This window comes from Homo sapiens, chromosome 12 (assembly GCF_000001405.40).
Source record: "Homo sapiens chromosome 12, GRCh38.p14 Primary Assembly".
In the NCBI taxonomy this organism is placed as follows: Eukaryota; Metazoa; Chordata; class Mammalia; order Primates; family Hominidae; genus Homo; species Homo sapiens.
This window is the reverse complement of record NC_000012.12, coordinates 88,015,094-88,031,768: the sequence shown is the minus strand read 5'-3', so window position 1 is coordinate 88,031,768 and position 16,675 is coordinate 88,015,094. Positions and strand designations below refer to the sequence as shown.

At 38.2% G+C, this 16,675-nt stretch overlaps 1 protein-coding gene across 9 annotated transcripts in view; it reads left to right on the top strand.

Annotated features, from left to right (window-relative positions):
• The first annotated feature begins 1,536 nt into the window (after positions 1-1,536).
• C12orf50 (chromosome 12 open reading frame 50) overlaps positions 1,537-16,675 on the top strand; it is a 50,198-nt gene continuing 35,059 nt past the window's right edge. For 3 of the 9 annotated variants that reach the window (XM_017018888.3, XM_017018886.3, XM_024448865.2), the window contains exons 1-3: positions 1,537-1,591; positions 4,699-4,818; positions 5,161-5,281. In XM_017018888.3, coding sequence (XP_016874377.2) covers positions 1,559-1,591; positions 4,699-4,818; positions 5,161-5,281 — 274 coding nt within the window. In that variant the 5' untranslated portion in view covers positions 1,537-1,558. Of the gene's footprint in view, positions 1,592-1,845; positions 1,928-2,367; positions 2,703-4,698; positions 4,819-5,160; positions 5,282-16,675 lie in introns of those variants that run through there. The other 6 variants (XM_024448868.2, NM_001363616.2, NM_152589.3 and 3 more) reach the window with 3 other exon arrangements.

The window sequence follows — 16,675 nt, the reverse complement described above, 5'->3', positions numbered from 1 at the left end:
TTAGCAAAGAGACTGGCAGCATTTTGCCCCTGCCCTAGAGATTTGTGGAACTTTGAACAAAGTACCTGAGAGATGATTTCAGGTATCTGGTATTGCTGAATCTGGAAGATTGAATGCTTAGCAAAGCATTCAAAAGGTGACTTGGGTGCTGTTAAAAGCATTCCATTTTAAAAGGGAAACAGAGCATGAAAGTTTAGAAATTTGCAGCCTGATGATGCAGTAGAAAAGAAAAACCCATTTTTTGAGGAGAAATTCAAGCCAGCTGCAGAAATTTGTATAAGTAGCAAGGAGCCTAATGTTGATCCCCAAGACCATGGGGAAAATGTCTCCAGGGTATGTCAGAGACCTTCACGGCAGCCCCTCCCATCACAGGCCCAGAGGCCCAGGAGGAAAAAGTGGTTTTATGGGCTAGGCCCAGGGTCCCCGTGCCATCTGTAGCCTAGGGACTTGGTGCCCTGTGTCTCAGCCAATCTAGCCATGACTGAAAGGGGCCAACATAGAGCTCGAGCTGTGGCTTCAGAGGGTGCAGGCCCCAAGCCTTGGCAGCTTCCACATTGCTGTTGAGCCTGCAGGAGCACAGAAGGCAAGAATTGAGGTTTGGAAACCTCCACTTAGATTTCAGAAGATGTATGGAAACACCTGGATGCTTAGGTAAAAGTTTGCTGCAGAAGTAAGGACCTCATGGAGAACCCCTGCTAGGGCAGTGTGGAAGGGAAATGTGGGCTGGAGCCCCCACACAGAGTCCCTCCTGGGGCACTGCCTAGTGGAGCTTTTAGAAGAGAGCCACCATCCTCCAAACCCCAGAATGGTAGCTCCACTGACAGCTTGTGCCATGCACCTGGAAAAGCCACAGACACTTAATGCCAGCCTGTGAAAGCAGCCAGGAGGGAGGCTGTACCCTGCAAAGCCACAGGGTCAGAGTGCCCAAGACCATGGGAACCCACCTTTTGCATCCACATGACCTGGATGTGAGACCTGGAGTCAAAGGACATCATTTTGGAGCTTTAAAATTTGACTGCCCTGCTGGAATTAGGACATGCAGGGGTCCTGTAACTCCTTTGTTTTGGCCAACTTATCCCACTTGCAGTGGCTTTGCCCAATACCAGTATCCCCATTGTATCTAGGAAGTAACTAGCTTGTTTTTGATTTTACAGACTCATAGGTGGAAGGGATTTGCCTTGTCTCAGATGAGACACTGGACTGTGGACTTTTGGATTAATACTGAAATGAGTTAAGACTTTGGGGGACTATTGGAAAGGCATGATTGGTTTTGAAATGTGAGGACATGAAGTTTGGAGGGACAAGTGGTGGAATGATATGGTTTGGCTCTGTCTCCACCCAAATATCAACTTGAATTGTATCTCCCAGAATTCCCACATGTTGTGGGAGGGATTCAGGGGGAGGTAATTGAATCATGGGTACGGGTTTTTCCCATGCTAATCTCATGATAGTGAATAAGTCTCATAAGATCTGATCAGTTTATCAGGGGATTCTACCTTTACTTTCTCCTCATTTTCTCTTGCCACCGCAGTGTAAGAAGTGCCTTTCACCTCCTGCCATGATTCTGAGGCCTCCCCAGCCATGTGGAACTGTAAGTCCAATTAAACCTCTTTTTCTTCCCAGTTGGGTATGCTTTTATCAGCAGCATGAAAACGGACTAATACATTTATGAGGAATATTTTTTATTAATTTCTGCTGGGTTTTAATTATTTGATTAAAGATACTAAGAGGAAGATATAAATAACTGCTGATTGAAATGTTTCATTCTGGAAATCAGAGTATTTCCCTTGTTTTCAACAAATTCTCAAAGCCTTCAAGCACTCTGGAAACTTTCTGCTATAGGAAGAAGATATTCCTCTTTTTATGATGGATGAAAAATAAATGGAATATAGCCACAAGATGAATAAGTAGCCCAATATATTTTCAGGTACCTATTAATATATCACAATTTGAATATGATTTTTCCCAAATCAATGGATAGTAGAGAGTACATATTTAAATAATTGTTTTTATTATCTTAGAATATGAGTAGCTCATTTACCTATGGCAAATTTTTAGTGTTATTCCCAAAACCTCTATAGAAACGAAGATTTAGAAATAGCTGTTTACTTGTGAAATACTTATCACTTTCTATTATAAAAGTATAAACTAGTTTATAGTCCATATTCAACGAGAACATTGAAAGATTAAAGTATGCTATTTTATTTTTGCTAGTCCTTTGTAGTTAATATGCTAAAACTGAGTAAGGGAAATACAGTGTTCACTCAGGTAAACTGTAGTTTACCTGAGTGAACATTGGCCTGCAGTTACATGTGAGGTCATTTATGATGAGCAAACAATGGATTAGGTAACAATGAGGAAAATTCTAGAAGTTTGAGTTTGTGTGCTTACTAGCAACCACTTTCAGCGTTTCTGCAAAGCTAGAGAAGGTATCTTCTAATTTAAATGTCTTTAAGAATTATCTATTGCGTAATATACTGTCAACAGGAGGTCAGTTTTAAAGGAATACTACTGATAGCCTGAAAGACTGTGGAAAAGAAATTATTTTTCCCCCTTACACACTGATAGTTCTTGTATTTGCATTCCTGAAATTCATATATATTTTTCAAAAAAAAAAAACCATTGGATTAGCAGCAAGAGAGTTGAAAATGGCAGAAGTTGGGAATGACTGCTATTTCTTTTTTAATTCCACATGCATAAAGGTAAATATTGTACAATTGACAGTACTTCACATGCTTAATCTTTTTAGTAGAATGAAGGGAGATATGGCAATAACTTGTATTGCTGAACAAAAATTTACTATTTTCTTGCAAGATATCTTATATTTGTAAAATCTGGAGTAACAGCTTATCATGTATTTTTGACATACTGAATTTCTCTGAAGAAATCTGAGATAATTTAAAATTATTATTTGTTTGAAACTACCCTTATATATACCAGTTATATGTCTATAGCTTTTGAATCTTCATGTGGCACTTTTGCCTATATTATGACACCTTGAGACATTAAATTCCTAATATTAAAACATCATAGGTTACAAGATATTGTTTTAGTTAATATGATTCCAGTCATTATAATTCAAATAGTTGAATTCAGGTAAGTGTCAATCTTAGTGTAATAAATCTGTTTTCCTATTTGAAATTTATTAACCCAATTACTGAATTTTCCTCTGTCAAAAGTCTAAGTAATAACAAATATTTAAATATCATTAAAAAAGAAAATTAATATAAACAAATTGGCCACATATAAATTAAACTTTATAAAGTTAAATGGGAAAAACTGAGAATTCCTCCAATGTATTAGGATGTATAGATCTTAGTAAAACCAGATAAAGGTAGAAACTCAATATTTGGAGCTTTGTGCTCATGCAAGAAATAATCCAGTGAAAAAGATGATATGTCTGGTTTCAAGTGTTTCCTCTCTGTTAGGAAACCTGAATGGAGTCAACCTCTCTGACCACAGAAATTGGATTCACTTCTATTACCTGTTAGATTAAATGCTAGGATAATAAAGAATAATAACAGATTTCATGTCCCAGGTGGGCAGAGTGTTTTGTCTATTTCACTGCTGTATCCCCAAGTACTTAGCAGAGTGGCTAATGAGTAAGTTACCAGTAAATAATTAAATGAATAAATAATAATAATAGCTCACAATACCTTATATCACATCATTTTTACAGCTAACCTGTAAGGAAAGTAGTTTTTATTTCCTGTATACAGATGAGAAAACTGAAGCACAGAGAGTATGAGTTAAGTATTAACTTTGTGACAATGGGCAAGTGGTGGCGCCCAGGGTTTCAAATACCAGTTTATTGACTTGAAAACCCCTGCCTACTAACCCGTGCTATGAGAGTATATGGATCTACTTTAACAAGGGGGAGAGAGTGAAGATGGAAGTAGGAGAGAGATAAAAGATAAAGAACAACCATGGAACATGTGTCAAAAGAGGGAAGAATGTTATCCACCTCTCTTCCCACACAACAGGGGCTTGTAGTTTTTACCAAATGTGCATTTACATTTAAAAGAACATAGAATTTTTAAGAAGTAATAGCGGCCCATTAAAACAATCCACATCTACTTTTGTTGGCATATTAACAAGTCAGTGAGTATATGTATAGGCAATTGTTTATCTTTCTAAGCCAAAGGCACAAAGCACATATATTTAATGTAGTATATCATAATACAATAATTAAAATTCCACAATAACATAAATTTTAAGCTCCATAAAAACTTAACAGTATCTCCATAGACTGAGAAAATAGATTATCTAATAAAAGGATTGATTAATAGAAATCATTTTCACAATTAGAATGTAGGTAGAGATTCTTAAAAATTTCATCTGGCTTTCTTCCAAAAGAGAAATTAAGTTGTTCTGTCATTGAATTGTGATCAAAGTGTCACTGGATTCTTATATCTCTATTCCTAGTGAACCATATGGATTAACGAATAACAAAAGGTAGCATTTTATCAGTGATTTGTGGCATGTTGTACTATGTAACCATTAGACTATCTTGTTGCTTTCTCACTAAAGTTAGACTAATTTGCTAAAATTTAGACTTATGGCCTAAAATTGATAGTGTATATCTTTGTGATTCTAGTGTAATCTACTCATATTTCGTTTAACTAATTAGCAACCTATTGTTGTTGAACACTAATGTCAACATATTGAGCTTTCTACACTGTTTACTTTTTCTTTTAGGGTTCCCAGTGCCGATTCCGACACTGTGAAGAGGCCCTTGGCAGTGACACTGTGTGCTCATTATGGAGAGAGAGGAAATGTTTAGATCCACTTTGCAGATTTAGACACATGGAAATGCAGGTAGAATTACTTGGCGTCATCATTTTTGTCAAAAAGTATTTCCCTTCAATAATGCTGAATTATACTTTTTCAAAACAATATGGAAGAAATCATTCTTCCTTCTACTATTTGATTTTAGGCATTTTGCAATTTTTTCAACTTAATGGAGGAACATGTTTTAGAAATACCCATTCCATCTTTTGAATAGCAGGGCTTAGAAACACTGAAAGCTGGAAGACACACATGATCCTAAATCAGTTAACTATAATTGTTTTTGTGTCCTTGTGCTGTATTGTAGCACATTGTATTTGTTGTAAATATGGCATCTAATCATTACATTTCCCCCAATCTCCTTTTATCTAGCAAAACTGCAGCATTTCATGCTTCTGGGAAACTCAGCCTCTTGGTTGTGTGAAGATCAGCTGTATCTTTTATCACAGCAAACCTCGAAATATCAATGGATTATTTTTGCCACCAAGTAGCAGTGAGTACATTTTTTGAATAACATAGACTTACCATATTCTAATCTGGTTTTGGACTAGCAGCATAGAATGACACATTTAAAAAGTATGACAAGGTGAGCAATGCAATTTAATAGCCAATGGGTAATTTGGAATGATTCTACATGAGACAAGAGAAAGCTTAGAATGAACCATTAAGTAACTAACAAGATGAAATGAACAAAGAGCAAGTTAAACTTTCTCTATGTGTATCTAAAATGGATTTTATTCATATGAAAAGTAAGACAGCTACTGACCTCACTAAATAGAAGGAGGCTGTGTCTCAGCAAAGTATCGCACAACTGAAGCCAAGCTTAGAGGTCATACCTTCACTGGTGGTCTCTGTGAATGTGCGGAAAGCTATCTCGTAGGTGGAGAGAGCAAGGGCAGGATCTGGGTTACACACTTCTGTTTCTAGCAGAACAGCTATGTGTGATGGTTCTTTCTAACACTTTAATTGTGGAAAAAATGCAATGCCATTGCTACAAAAGCCGTGGCACAATTCAGTCTAACTAAATGGTACTGAGACTCTACCATGTGATGTACCTTAAAGTTGGTTCTGGGAAGTGGATACAGAAGACACCACAGTGTAAACCAGTGAATGGTAAGAACCTTGCTGAAGAAGGTTGGGCTATTAGGTTTCCCTGATGCTTGTAACTACTCTACTTTCCTTCTATGGCCACCAAGTTTCTCTGATGGAATGGTTTTTTGTTTGTTTGTTTGTTTGTTTTTTGAGACGGAGTCTCGCTCTGTCACCCAGGCTGGAGTGCAGTGGTGCGCTCTCAGCTCATTGCAGCCTCCACCTCCCGGGTTCAAGCAATTCTCATGCCTCAGCCTCCTGAGTAGCTGGGACTACAGGCACGCACCGCCACACCCAGCTAATTTTTGTATTTGCAGAAAAATATACAACCATGCTGGTTGGGTTAAATTCATGATCACAAATCTCAAATGAGCCCTTACTGCTGACTGCCAATAACACTACATGGTACTCCCCCAGTTCATTCCTATTCTCCCAGACTGCTTTTTATACCTCCTTCCCTCTCCTTAAACCTCCATTGCCACCTCCTCTTTGATGATGACTTTATGTCTTACGAACTGAGAAACTTTTAATAAGAAGAGAACTTCTGCATATTTCTGTCACCACATCCACCCACCTAGTAGCATTGGTACTTAACTTCTTCCCTGCTCTTACCATGAATCATCCATACTCCTATCTAAGCCTATCCTTCCACTTGGTAACTAGACATTGCCTTCTCTTGTCTACTCTAAGACATTGAGTTAATGATTCTTCCCTCTTTTTCTACATAAACATTATTCACTCTTACTGAATCATTTCTATCAGTATACAAACATGTATTTATTTATTTATGGAATTCTCCATTTTGATCTATTCTCTCACAAGCTACCACCCCATGTTTTTTTCCCGTTGCAATAATTCTCTTCAAAGTGGTTATTTATTATTGCTGTCACCAAATCCTTCCCCCATTCTTTCTTAATCCCATGCAAATCAGGCTTATTCACTCCTTTCACCTGTCACATACACATTATTAAATCCAGTGGCCAATTTCCAGTCCTTATGTAACTTGAACCACGAGCAGGATTTGACACATTTAATCACCCCTTCCTTCTTGACATAATTTTCCTATCTAGCTTGCAGGACACATTCTCTTCATTTATCTTTCTTTTTTTTCTTTAACTTTTATTTTAGGTTCTGGGGTACATGTGCAGGATTGTTATATAGGTAAACTGTGTGTCATGGAGATTTGGTGGACAGATAATTTCATCACCTGGGTAATAAGCATACTATCTGATAGATATTTTTTCTGATCCTCTCCCTTCTACCAGCCTCCACCCTCAAATAGGCCACAGTATCTGTTGTCCCTCTCTTTGGGTTATCATTTAGCTCTCACTTATAAGTTAGAACATGTGGCATTTGGATTTTGTTCCTGCATTAGTTTGCTAAGGATGATGGCCTCCAGCTCCATCAATGTTCTTGCAAAGGACATGATGTCATTCTTGTTTTATGGCGTGTAGTAATCCATGGCATATATATACCACATTTTCCTTATTCGTTCTACCATTGATGGGCATTTAGGTTAATTTCATGTCTTTGCTATTGTGAATAGTGCTGTGATGAACATGCAGGTACATGTGTCTTTATGGTAGAATGATTTATATTCCTGTGTGTATATACCCAATAATAGGGTTGCTGGGTCAAATGGTAATTCTCTTCTAAGTTCTTCAAATAATTGCTACATTGCTTTGCACAGTGGCTGGACCAATTTACATTCCTACCAGCAGTATATAAGTGTTCCCTTTTCTCTGTAACCTCATCAGCATCTGTTATTTTTTGACTTTTTAATAAATAGCCATTCTTATTGGTATGAGGTGGTATTTCATTATGGTTTTGATTTGTGGTTCTGTGATGATTAGTGATGTTGAGCATTTTTTCCTATGCTTTGGCCACATTTATGTCTTCTTTTGAAAAGCGTTCACGTGCTTTTCCCACTTTTTAATGAAGTTGTTAGTTTTTGCTTGTTAAGTCCCTTATAAATTCTGGATATTAGACCTTTGTTGGATATATAGTTTGCAAATATTTTTTCTCATTCTGTAGATTGTCTGTTTACTCTGTTGGTAGTTTCTTTTGCTGTGCAGAAACTCTTTAGTTTAATTAAATCCTTTTTGTTAACTTTTTTGTTGTATGCTTTTGGCATCTTTGTCATGAAATCTTTGTCATGTCCTATATCCAGAATGGTATTTCCTAGGTTATCTTCCAGGGTTTTTTAAGTCTTTTTTTTTTTTTTTGAGATGGAGTCTCACTCTGTTGCCAGGCTGGAGTGCAACGGTGTGATCTCCGCCCACTACAACCTCCGCCTCCTGGGTTCAAGTGATTCCCCTGCCCCAGCCTCCCAAGTAGCTGAGACCACAGGCACGTGCCACCATGCCAGGCTAAATTTTTTTTTTTTTTTTTAGTAGAGACGAAGTTTCACCATGTTGGCCAGGACGGTACAATCTCCTGACCTTGTGATCCACCCACCTCAACCTCCCAAAGTGCTGGGATTATAGGCATGAGCCACCGTGCCTGGCCTACATTTAAGTCTTTAATCTATCTTGAGTGAATTTTTGTATGTGGTATAAGGTAGGGGTTCAGTTTCCATTTTCTACATATGGCAAGCCAGTTATTCCAGCATCATTTATTGAAAGGGGAGTCCTCTCCCTGTTTCTTATTTTTGTCACCTTTGTCAAAGATTAGATGGTTGCAGGCATGAGGCTTTTATTTCTAGACTTTCTATTCTATTCCATTGGTCTATGTGTGTTTTTTTGTGCCAGTATCATGCTGTTTTGGTTACCGTAGACCTGTAGTATAGTTTGAAGTTGGGTAACATGATGCCTCCCTTTTTGAACTTTTTGCTTTAAGATTGCCTTGGCTCTTTAGGCTCCTTTTGGGTTCCACATTAATTTTAAAATATATTTTTCTAATTCTGTGAAGAATGTTATTGGTAGTTTGATAGAAATAACTTCGAATCTGTGAATTTCTTTGGGCATCATTGCCATTTTCATGGTGTTGATTCTTCCTATCCATGAGCATGGAATGTTTTTCCATTTGTTTGCATCATCTCTGCTTTCTTTGGGCAGTGTTTTGTAATTCTCATTGTAAAGATCTTTCACCTCTCTGGTTAGCTGTATTCCTAGATATATTATTCTTTTTGTGGCAGTTATTAATGGAATTGCATTCCTGATTTGACTCTTGGCTTGGATGTTGTTGTTGTATAGGAATGCTACTGATATTTGTATGTTAATTTTGTATCCTGAAACTTTGCTGAAATTGTTTATCAGATCAAAGCACTTTTGGGCAGAGATTATGAGGTTTTCTAGATATAGAATTATGTCATCTGCAAACAGGGATAATTTGACTTCCTTGATTCCTATTTGGATGTCTTTTCTTTCTTTCTCTTGCCTGTTTGCTCTGGCCAGGACTTTTCAATACTATGGTGAGTAGGAGTGGTGACAGAGGGTATACTTGTCTTCTTCCAGTTTTCAAGGGGGAATGCTTCCAGTTTTTGCTTATTCAGTCTGATGTAGGCTGTGGGTTTTACATAGATGGGTCTTATTATTTTGAAGTACGTTTCTTCAATTCCTAGCTTATTGAGGGTTTTTAGCATGAAGGGATGTTGAATTTTATTAAAAGCCTTTTCTGCATCTATTGAGGTAATCATATCTCAATATGGTTTTTACTTTTAGTTCTGTTTATGTAGTCAGTCACATTTATTGATTTGTATATGTTGAACCAACCTTGCATCCCAAGGATATGGCATACTTGATCATGATGGATTAGCTTTTTGATGTGCTGCTGAATTTGATTTGCTAGTATTTTGTTGAGGATTTTGACATCTGTGTTCACTGAGAATATTGGCCTGAAATTTTTTTTTTTTTGGTTTTCTTTCTGCCACATTTTGGTATCAGAATGATGCTGGCCTCATAGAATGAGTTAGGGAGGAGTCCTTCATCCTCAATTTTTTGAAATAGTCTCAGTAGGAATGGCACCAGCTCTTCTTTATAAATCTGATATAACTCGGCTATGAATCTATCTGGCCCTGGGTTTTTTTTGGTTGGTAGGCTTTTTCTTACTTATACAGTTATAGAACTCAGTATTGGTCTCTTCAGGGATTCAGTTTCTTCCTTGTTCAGTCTTGGGAGGTTGCATGTGTTTAGGAATATATTCATTTCTTCTAAATTTTCTAGTTTGTACCCATAGAGGTGTTTATAGTAGTGTCTGATAGGTTTTTGTATTTCTGTGGGGTCAGTGGTAATGTCCCTTTTGTCTTTTTTTTTTGAAACAGAGTCTCACTCTGTCACCCAGACTGGAATGCAGTGGTGCGATCTTGGCTCACTGCAACCTCTGGTTCCAGGGTTCAAGTGATTCTCCTCCTTCAGCCTCCCAAGTAGCTGGGATAACAGGCATGCACCACCATGCCTGACTAATTTTTGTATTTTTAGTAGAGACTGGGTTTCACCATGTTGGCCAGGCTGGTCTCGAACTCCTGGCCTCAAGTGATCTGCCTGCCTTGGCCCTCCCAAAGTGCTGGGATTATAGGCGTGAGCCACTGAAGCTGGCCTCCCTTTGTCATTTCTAATTGTGTTTACTTGGATCTTCTCTTTTTTTTTTTTTGTCTTTATTAGTCTAGGTAGCAGTCTATCTTTCTTATTAATTTTTTCAAAAAATCAACTCCTGGGTTTGCTGGTCTTTTGTATGGCTTTTTGTGTCTCCATTTCCTTCAGTTCAGCCCTAATTTTGGTAATTTCTTGTCTTCTGCCAGCTTTAGGGTTGGTTTTCTCTTACTTCTCTAGTTCTTCTAGTTGTGATGTTAAGTTGTTAATTTGAGATCTTTCTTTCTGATGTGGTCATTTAGTGCTATAAACTTCCCTCTTAATACTGAGTTAGCTGTATCTCAGAGAATCTGGTATGTTGTATCTGTTCTCAAAAGTTTCAAAGAATTTCTTGATTTCTGCCATAATTTCATTGTTTACCCAAAAGTCATTCAGGAGCAGGTTGTTTAATTTCCATGTAATTGTATGGTAGTGAGTGATTTTCTTAGTATTGATTCCTATATTTATTGTGCTGTGGCCTGAGGGCATGGTTGGTATGATGTATTTTTTTTTTTTAATTTGCTGAGTATTGTTTTATGTCCAAATGTATGGTCAGTTTTGGAGGATGTGTCATGTGATGATGAGAAGAATGTATATTCTGTTGTTTTGGGGTGGAGAGTTCTGTAGATGTTTATTAAATCCATTTGGTCAAGTTTTGAGTTTAGGTCCTTAATATCTTTGCTTTTCTGCATTGACAATCTGTGTAATGCTGTCAGTGGAGTGTTGAAGTCTCCCACTATTATGGTATGGGAATCTAAGTCTTTTTGTAGGTCTCTAAGAACTTGCTTTATGGATCTGGGTGCTCCTGTGTTGGATGTGTATATATTTAGGATAGTAAGGTCTTCTTGTTGAATTGAACCCTTTACCATTGTATAATGTGTTTATGTTTTTTAATCTTGTTGGTTTAAGTCTTTTTGGCCTGAAATTAGGATTGCAACCCCTGATATTTTTTGTTTTCCATTTGCTTGGTAGATTTTTCACAATTTCTTTATTTTGAGCCTATGGGTATCATTGTATAATATGTGCAATGGGTGTCTTGAAGACAGCATGTTAGTGGGTCTTGCTTCTTTATCGAGCTTGCAACTCTGTGCCTTTTAATTGGTGCATTTAGCTCCTTTACATTCAAGGTTACATTGATATGTGTGGATTTGATCCTGTCATCATGTTGTTAGCTGGTTTGTGTGCACACTTGTTTGTGTGGTTACTTTATAGTGTCACTGGTCTGCATTCTTAAGTGTGTTTTTGTAGTGACTGGTAACTGTCTTTCCTTTCCGTATTTAGTGTATCTTTCAGGACCTCTTGTAAGGCATGTCTGGTGGTAAAAAATTCCCTCAGCACTTGCTTGTCTGAAAAGGATCTTATTTATCCTTCACTTATGCAGTTTAGTTTGCCTGGATGTGATATTCTTGGTTGGAATTTTTTTTTCTCTAAGAATGCTGAATGTAGGCTTCCAATCTTTTCTGGCTTGTAGGGTTTCTTCTGAAAGGTTCACTGTTAGCCTGATGGACTTCGCTTTGTAGGTAACCTACCCTTCTCTCCAGCTGTCTTTAACATTTTTTTTCTTTTGTTTCAAACTTGGTTTCTTTGTTTTTCTTCTACCTTCCTAGTGCTTTGTTATCACTCTCCCTGGATTGTTCTTCCTCTTTTCCCCAATCTCTTACATGTGCAGAGTTAGTTCTTGGTTTTTTTTTTCTCTGTTTACTTTCTTGGTAGTCTCATCTAGCCTTATGATTTTGAATATGATCCACATGTCAGTGACTCCCAAATGTAACAAGAGACTCTATTTGATCTAGTGCCCTGTTAGCTCTCTGAAGTTTTCTACCACACTATATTAGTCTGCTTTTACACTTCTTTTGCACTGCTGATAAAGAGATACCCAAGACTGGGCAATTTACAAAAGACATACCCAAGACTGGGCAATTTACAAGAAGGAAGTTTAATGGACTTATAGTTCCACATGTCTGGGGAGGCCTCCAAATCATTGAGGAAGGCTAGGAGGAGAAAGTCACGTCTTACATGGATGGCAGCAGCAAAGAAAGAGAGTTTGTGCAGGGAAAGTCCCCTTTTTGAAATCGTCAGATCTCATGAGACTTACTCACTATCACGAGAACAGCATGGGAAATACCTGCCCCATGATTCAATTACCTCCCATCGAATTCCTCCCACAACATATGGGAATTGTGGGAGTTACAATTCAAGATGAGATTTGGGTGGGGAAAGAGCCAAACCATATCATTCCATCCCTGGCCCCTCCCAAATCTCATGTCCTCACATTTAAAACCAATCATGCTTTCCCAACATTCCCCAAAAGTCTTAACTCATTTTAACATTAACTTAAAAGTCCACAGTCCAAAGTCTCATCTGAGACAAGGCAAGTCCCTTCTGCCTGTGATCCTGTAAAATCAAAAACAAGTTAGTTACTTCCTACATACAATGGGGTTACAGGCATTGGGTAGGTACAGCCATTCGAAATGGGAGAAACTGGGCAAAACAAAGGGGCTACAGGCCCTATGCAAGTCCAAAATCCAGCAGGGCAGACAAATCTTAAAGCTCAAAATGATCTCCTTTGACTCCAGGTCTCACATCCAGGTCCCACTGAGGCAAAAGGTGGGGTCCCATGGTCTTGGGTTGCTCTGCCCCTGTGGCTTTGCAGGGTAGAGCCCCTGCTCCTGGCTGCTTTCACTGGCTGGTGTTAAGTGTCTGTGGCTTTTCCAGGCACACGGTGCAAGCTGTCAGTGAATCTACCCATTCTGGGGTCTAGAGGACAGTGGCCCTCTTCTCACAGCTCCACTAAGCAGTGCTCCAGTAGGGACTTTGTGTAGCAGCTCTGGCCCCACATTTCCCTTCCACACTGCCCTAGCAGAGGTTCTTCATGAGGGCCCTGCCCCTGCAACAAACTTTTGCCTGGGCATCCAGGCATTTCCACACGCCCTCTGAAATCTAGGCAGAGGTTCCCAAACCCCAATTCTTAAATTCTGTGCTCTTGCAGTCTCAACACCACATGGAAGCTGTCAAGGCTTGGGGTCTGCACCCTCTGAAACCACGGCCTGAGCTGTATCTTGGCCCCTTTCAGCCGTGATTGGAGTGACTGGGACACAGGGCACCAAGTCCATAGGCTGCACACAGCATGGGGACCCTGGGCCTAGCCCATGAAACCATTTTGTCCTCCTAGGTCTCTGGGCCTGTGATAGGAGGGGCTGCCAAGAAGGTCCCTGACATACATTGGAGACATTTTCCCCATTATCTTGGGGATTAACATTCGGCTTATTGTTAATTATGAAAATTTCTGCAGCCAGCTTGAATTTCCCCTCAGAAAATAGGATTTTCTTTTGTATCTTATTGTCAGGCTGCAAATTTTCCAAACTTTTATGCTGTTTTCTTTTTAGAACTGAATGCCTTTAGCAGCACCCAAGTCACCTCTTGAATGCTTTGCTGCTTAGAAATTTCTTCTGCCAGATACCTTAAATTATCTCTCTTAAATTCAAAGTTCCACAAATCTCTAGGGAAGGGGCAAAGTGCTGCCAGTCTCTTTGCTAAAACTTAATAAGAGTCACCTTTGCTCCAGTTCCCAACAAGTTCCTCATCTCTAACTGAGAATACCTCAGCCTGGATTTCATTGTCCATATCATTATCAGCATTTTGGTCAAAGCCATTCAACAAGTATCTAGGAGGTTCCAAACTTTCCCACATTTTTCTGTGTTATTCTGAGCCCTTCAAACTGTTCCAACCTCTGCCTGTTACCCAGTTCCAAAGTTGCTTCCACATTTTTGGGTATCTTTCCAGCAGTGCTCCACTCTACTGGCACCAGTTTACTGTATTAGTCTGTTTTTATTCTGCAGATAAAGACATGCTGCAGATAAAGACATACTTGAGACTGAGCAATTTACAAAAGAAAGAGATTTAATGGACTTACAGTTCCACATGGCTGGGGAGGCCTCACAATCATGGTGGAAGGCAAGGAGGAGCAAGTCACATCTTACATGTATGGCAGCAGGCAAAGAGAGAGAGCTTGTGTAGGGAAACTCTTGTTTTTAAAACTGTCAGGTCTCATGAGACTTATTCACTATCATGAGAACGGCACAGAAAAGACCCGCCCCCATGATTCAATTACCTCTCACCAGGTTCCTTCCATGATATGTGGGAATTTGGGAAGTTACAATTCAAGATGAGATTTGGGTAGGGACATAGTCAAACTATATCACACACCCGTATGCTTGCTTGCTCTACTCAAATCATACTGTATACTTGCTTTTCCTAGTGCATATTAGCATGTTCCTGCTTTAGGGGCTTTGTGCAAAACACTCTTCCCTCAATATCTTCATGGCTAATTCCATCATTTCTTCACAGCCTTGCTAAAATATGTTTTACATAACACTATTCTGAACACTGTATTTGAAATGTAGTCAGCCTTCCCAAGCATGCCTTACACACTTCCAAACTTCCTTGCCTTGTTCTACTTTCTTATTGCCATACTCCCTATGATTTCTCAGATACAATATAATTTACTGGTTTAATATGTCTATTTGTTGTGTGACTCCTCCCTATAGAATGAAAGTACCATAAGAGCAAGAATCTTTATTTTGTTCACTGATGAATCTCAAGCACCTAACATAGCCACATAGTACTGGCTCTCACATAGTGGCCAGTTCTACTCCGGGAATCCATGAACAGCATTTATTTATGTTAAATCTGTTAACTATTTTCCCGCTGCTTGACACATTTCTGTACTCTAGGAAAAAGGATTCAATTTCCAGACTGTAGATAAACTAACAAGCTCAGCTGAAATATGTATTGAACTACTGCATTGCTTCTTTATTTGGAAATATTTCAATACCTCAGAAGTAATAATTTGATTCCTGGCAGACCTAATATTTCCTATGATATTTCCAGGAACTTCTATCTACCAATGCCCATAATAACCAAAACTGGGGCCATAAATCTTTTCACCTTAGACAAAGATTAAATTATAAAGTAATACCTTTGTGAATATCTACCTTTATGAGTGTCGGTAAATGCATATGATTAATTGATAAATTTAGGGTGAGGTTATTACAAACCATTTCATAGCAAACTGTAACTGGCTAAGTATAGGTTCATACAGAGCATTGTACAAATGTGTGTAATTTTGTCTCAGGTTAAAATAAGATAAAATTTAGATATTTAAATGTGCAACCTGTGAAACTTTAGGGCTTCTGCTTGATGAATTGAGACCTGTCACATAGTCCATATTAAGTAGATGAGTTGGAGCCACAGCAGTGCTATCTAAATCACCGGCTGTGTTCTTCCAGTATGAGGCACTTGCCAAAGGCAATTTCCTATTAGATGATTTGCCATTGTATGTTGTTATCTTTAAGCACTAAGTGCAATTATCAGGAGTCCTACATTTTTTTGTCTAGGGGTATAAAACTGCCAGTTACTCTCTTTGCAATTTAAACTTCAACCTGCTAGTGAATTTTAAAAGGTTTTGGACTCTTTTAAAATATATTTTATTTACATGTTTATAAACCATGGAATTTTAAAAGACATAATCTCTCTGGTTATCATTTCTAAGTTTAAAAGCAAATAGCTGCTAAACCAATTGAGAATGCTAAGAAAACATAATTCTGTTAATATTTACCATAAAAATTCCCTAGACATTTTCTGAGTACAGTTCGTACTTTTTTGCAAGCCTGGTAGGCACTTATTCTTTCTCCTATGGTATGCACTAGAAGTTAGTGTAATCTCTTAGACAAACTTGTTTTAAAAAAGTTCTTATATTTTGCTGAAGAAAAATTTGTTCCAAACACAGTAGCTAGCTTGAACATGGAAATTGCTCATCTTTCCTTGGCTAGTTGCCACTTTATTCTGTAATGAACAATTGAATAGGATCATTTGATTTTTATTTATTCTAGGTCAGTGTCCAGTGATGCCTTGGACAACTGATTTGGCCACTTTAAATTAAACTTTGGTCAGCTTTCTTTAGAATGTCTAGCCTCTGTGTTTATTATCTGCCTTTTAGTTAAAGTTTTGAAAAGCCACTTGCTAATAAATTGTTTTTAAATAATTTAATAAACACTTTGACTTGAATATTTCAGTCAGTACACACACACTAATTTTTGTGCGTGTGTGTTTTAGAAAAGAAGACAATTCATAATGGTTATAAGGATAAAAGTTCTTCAGCTTAGTTCTTTCCTCTCTGGGGAAGGAAGAGAGGGGATAAGAAAATGCCATAGCACATCAAATGGTAGCCC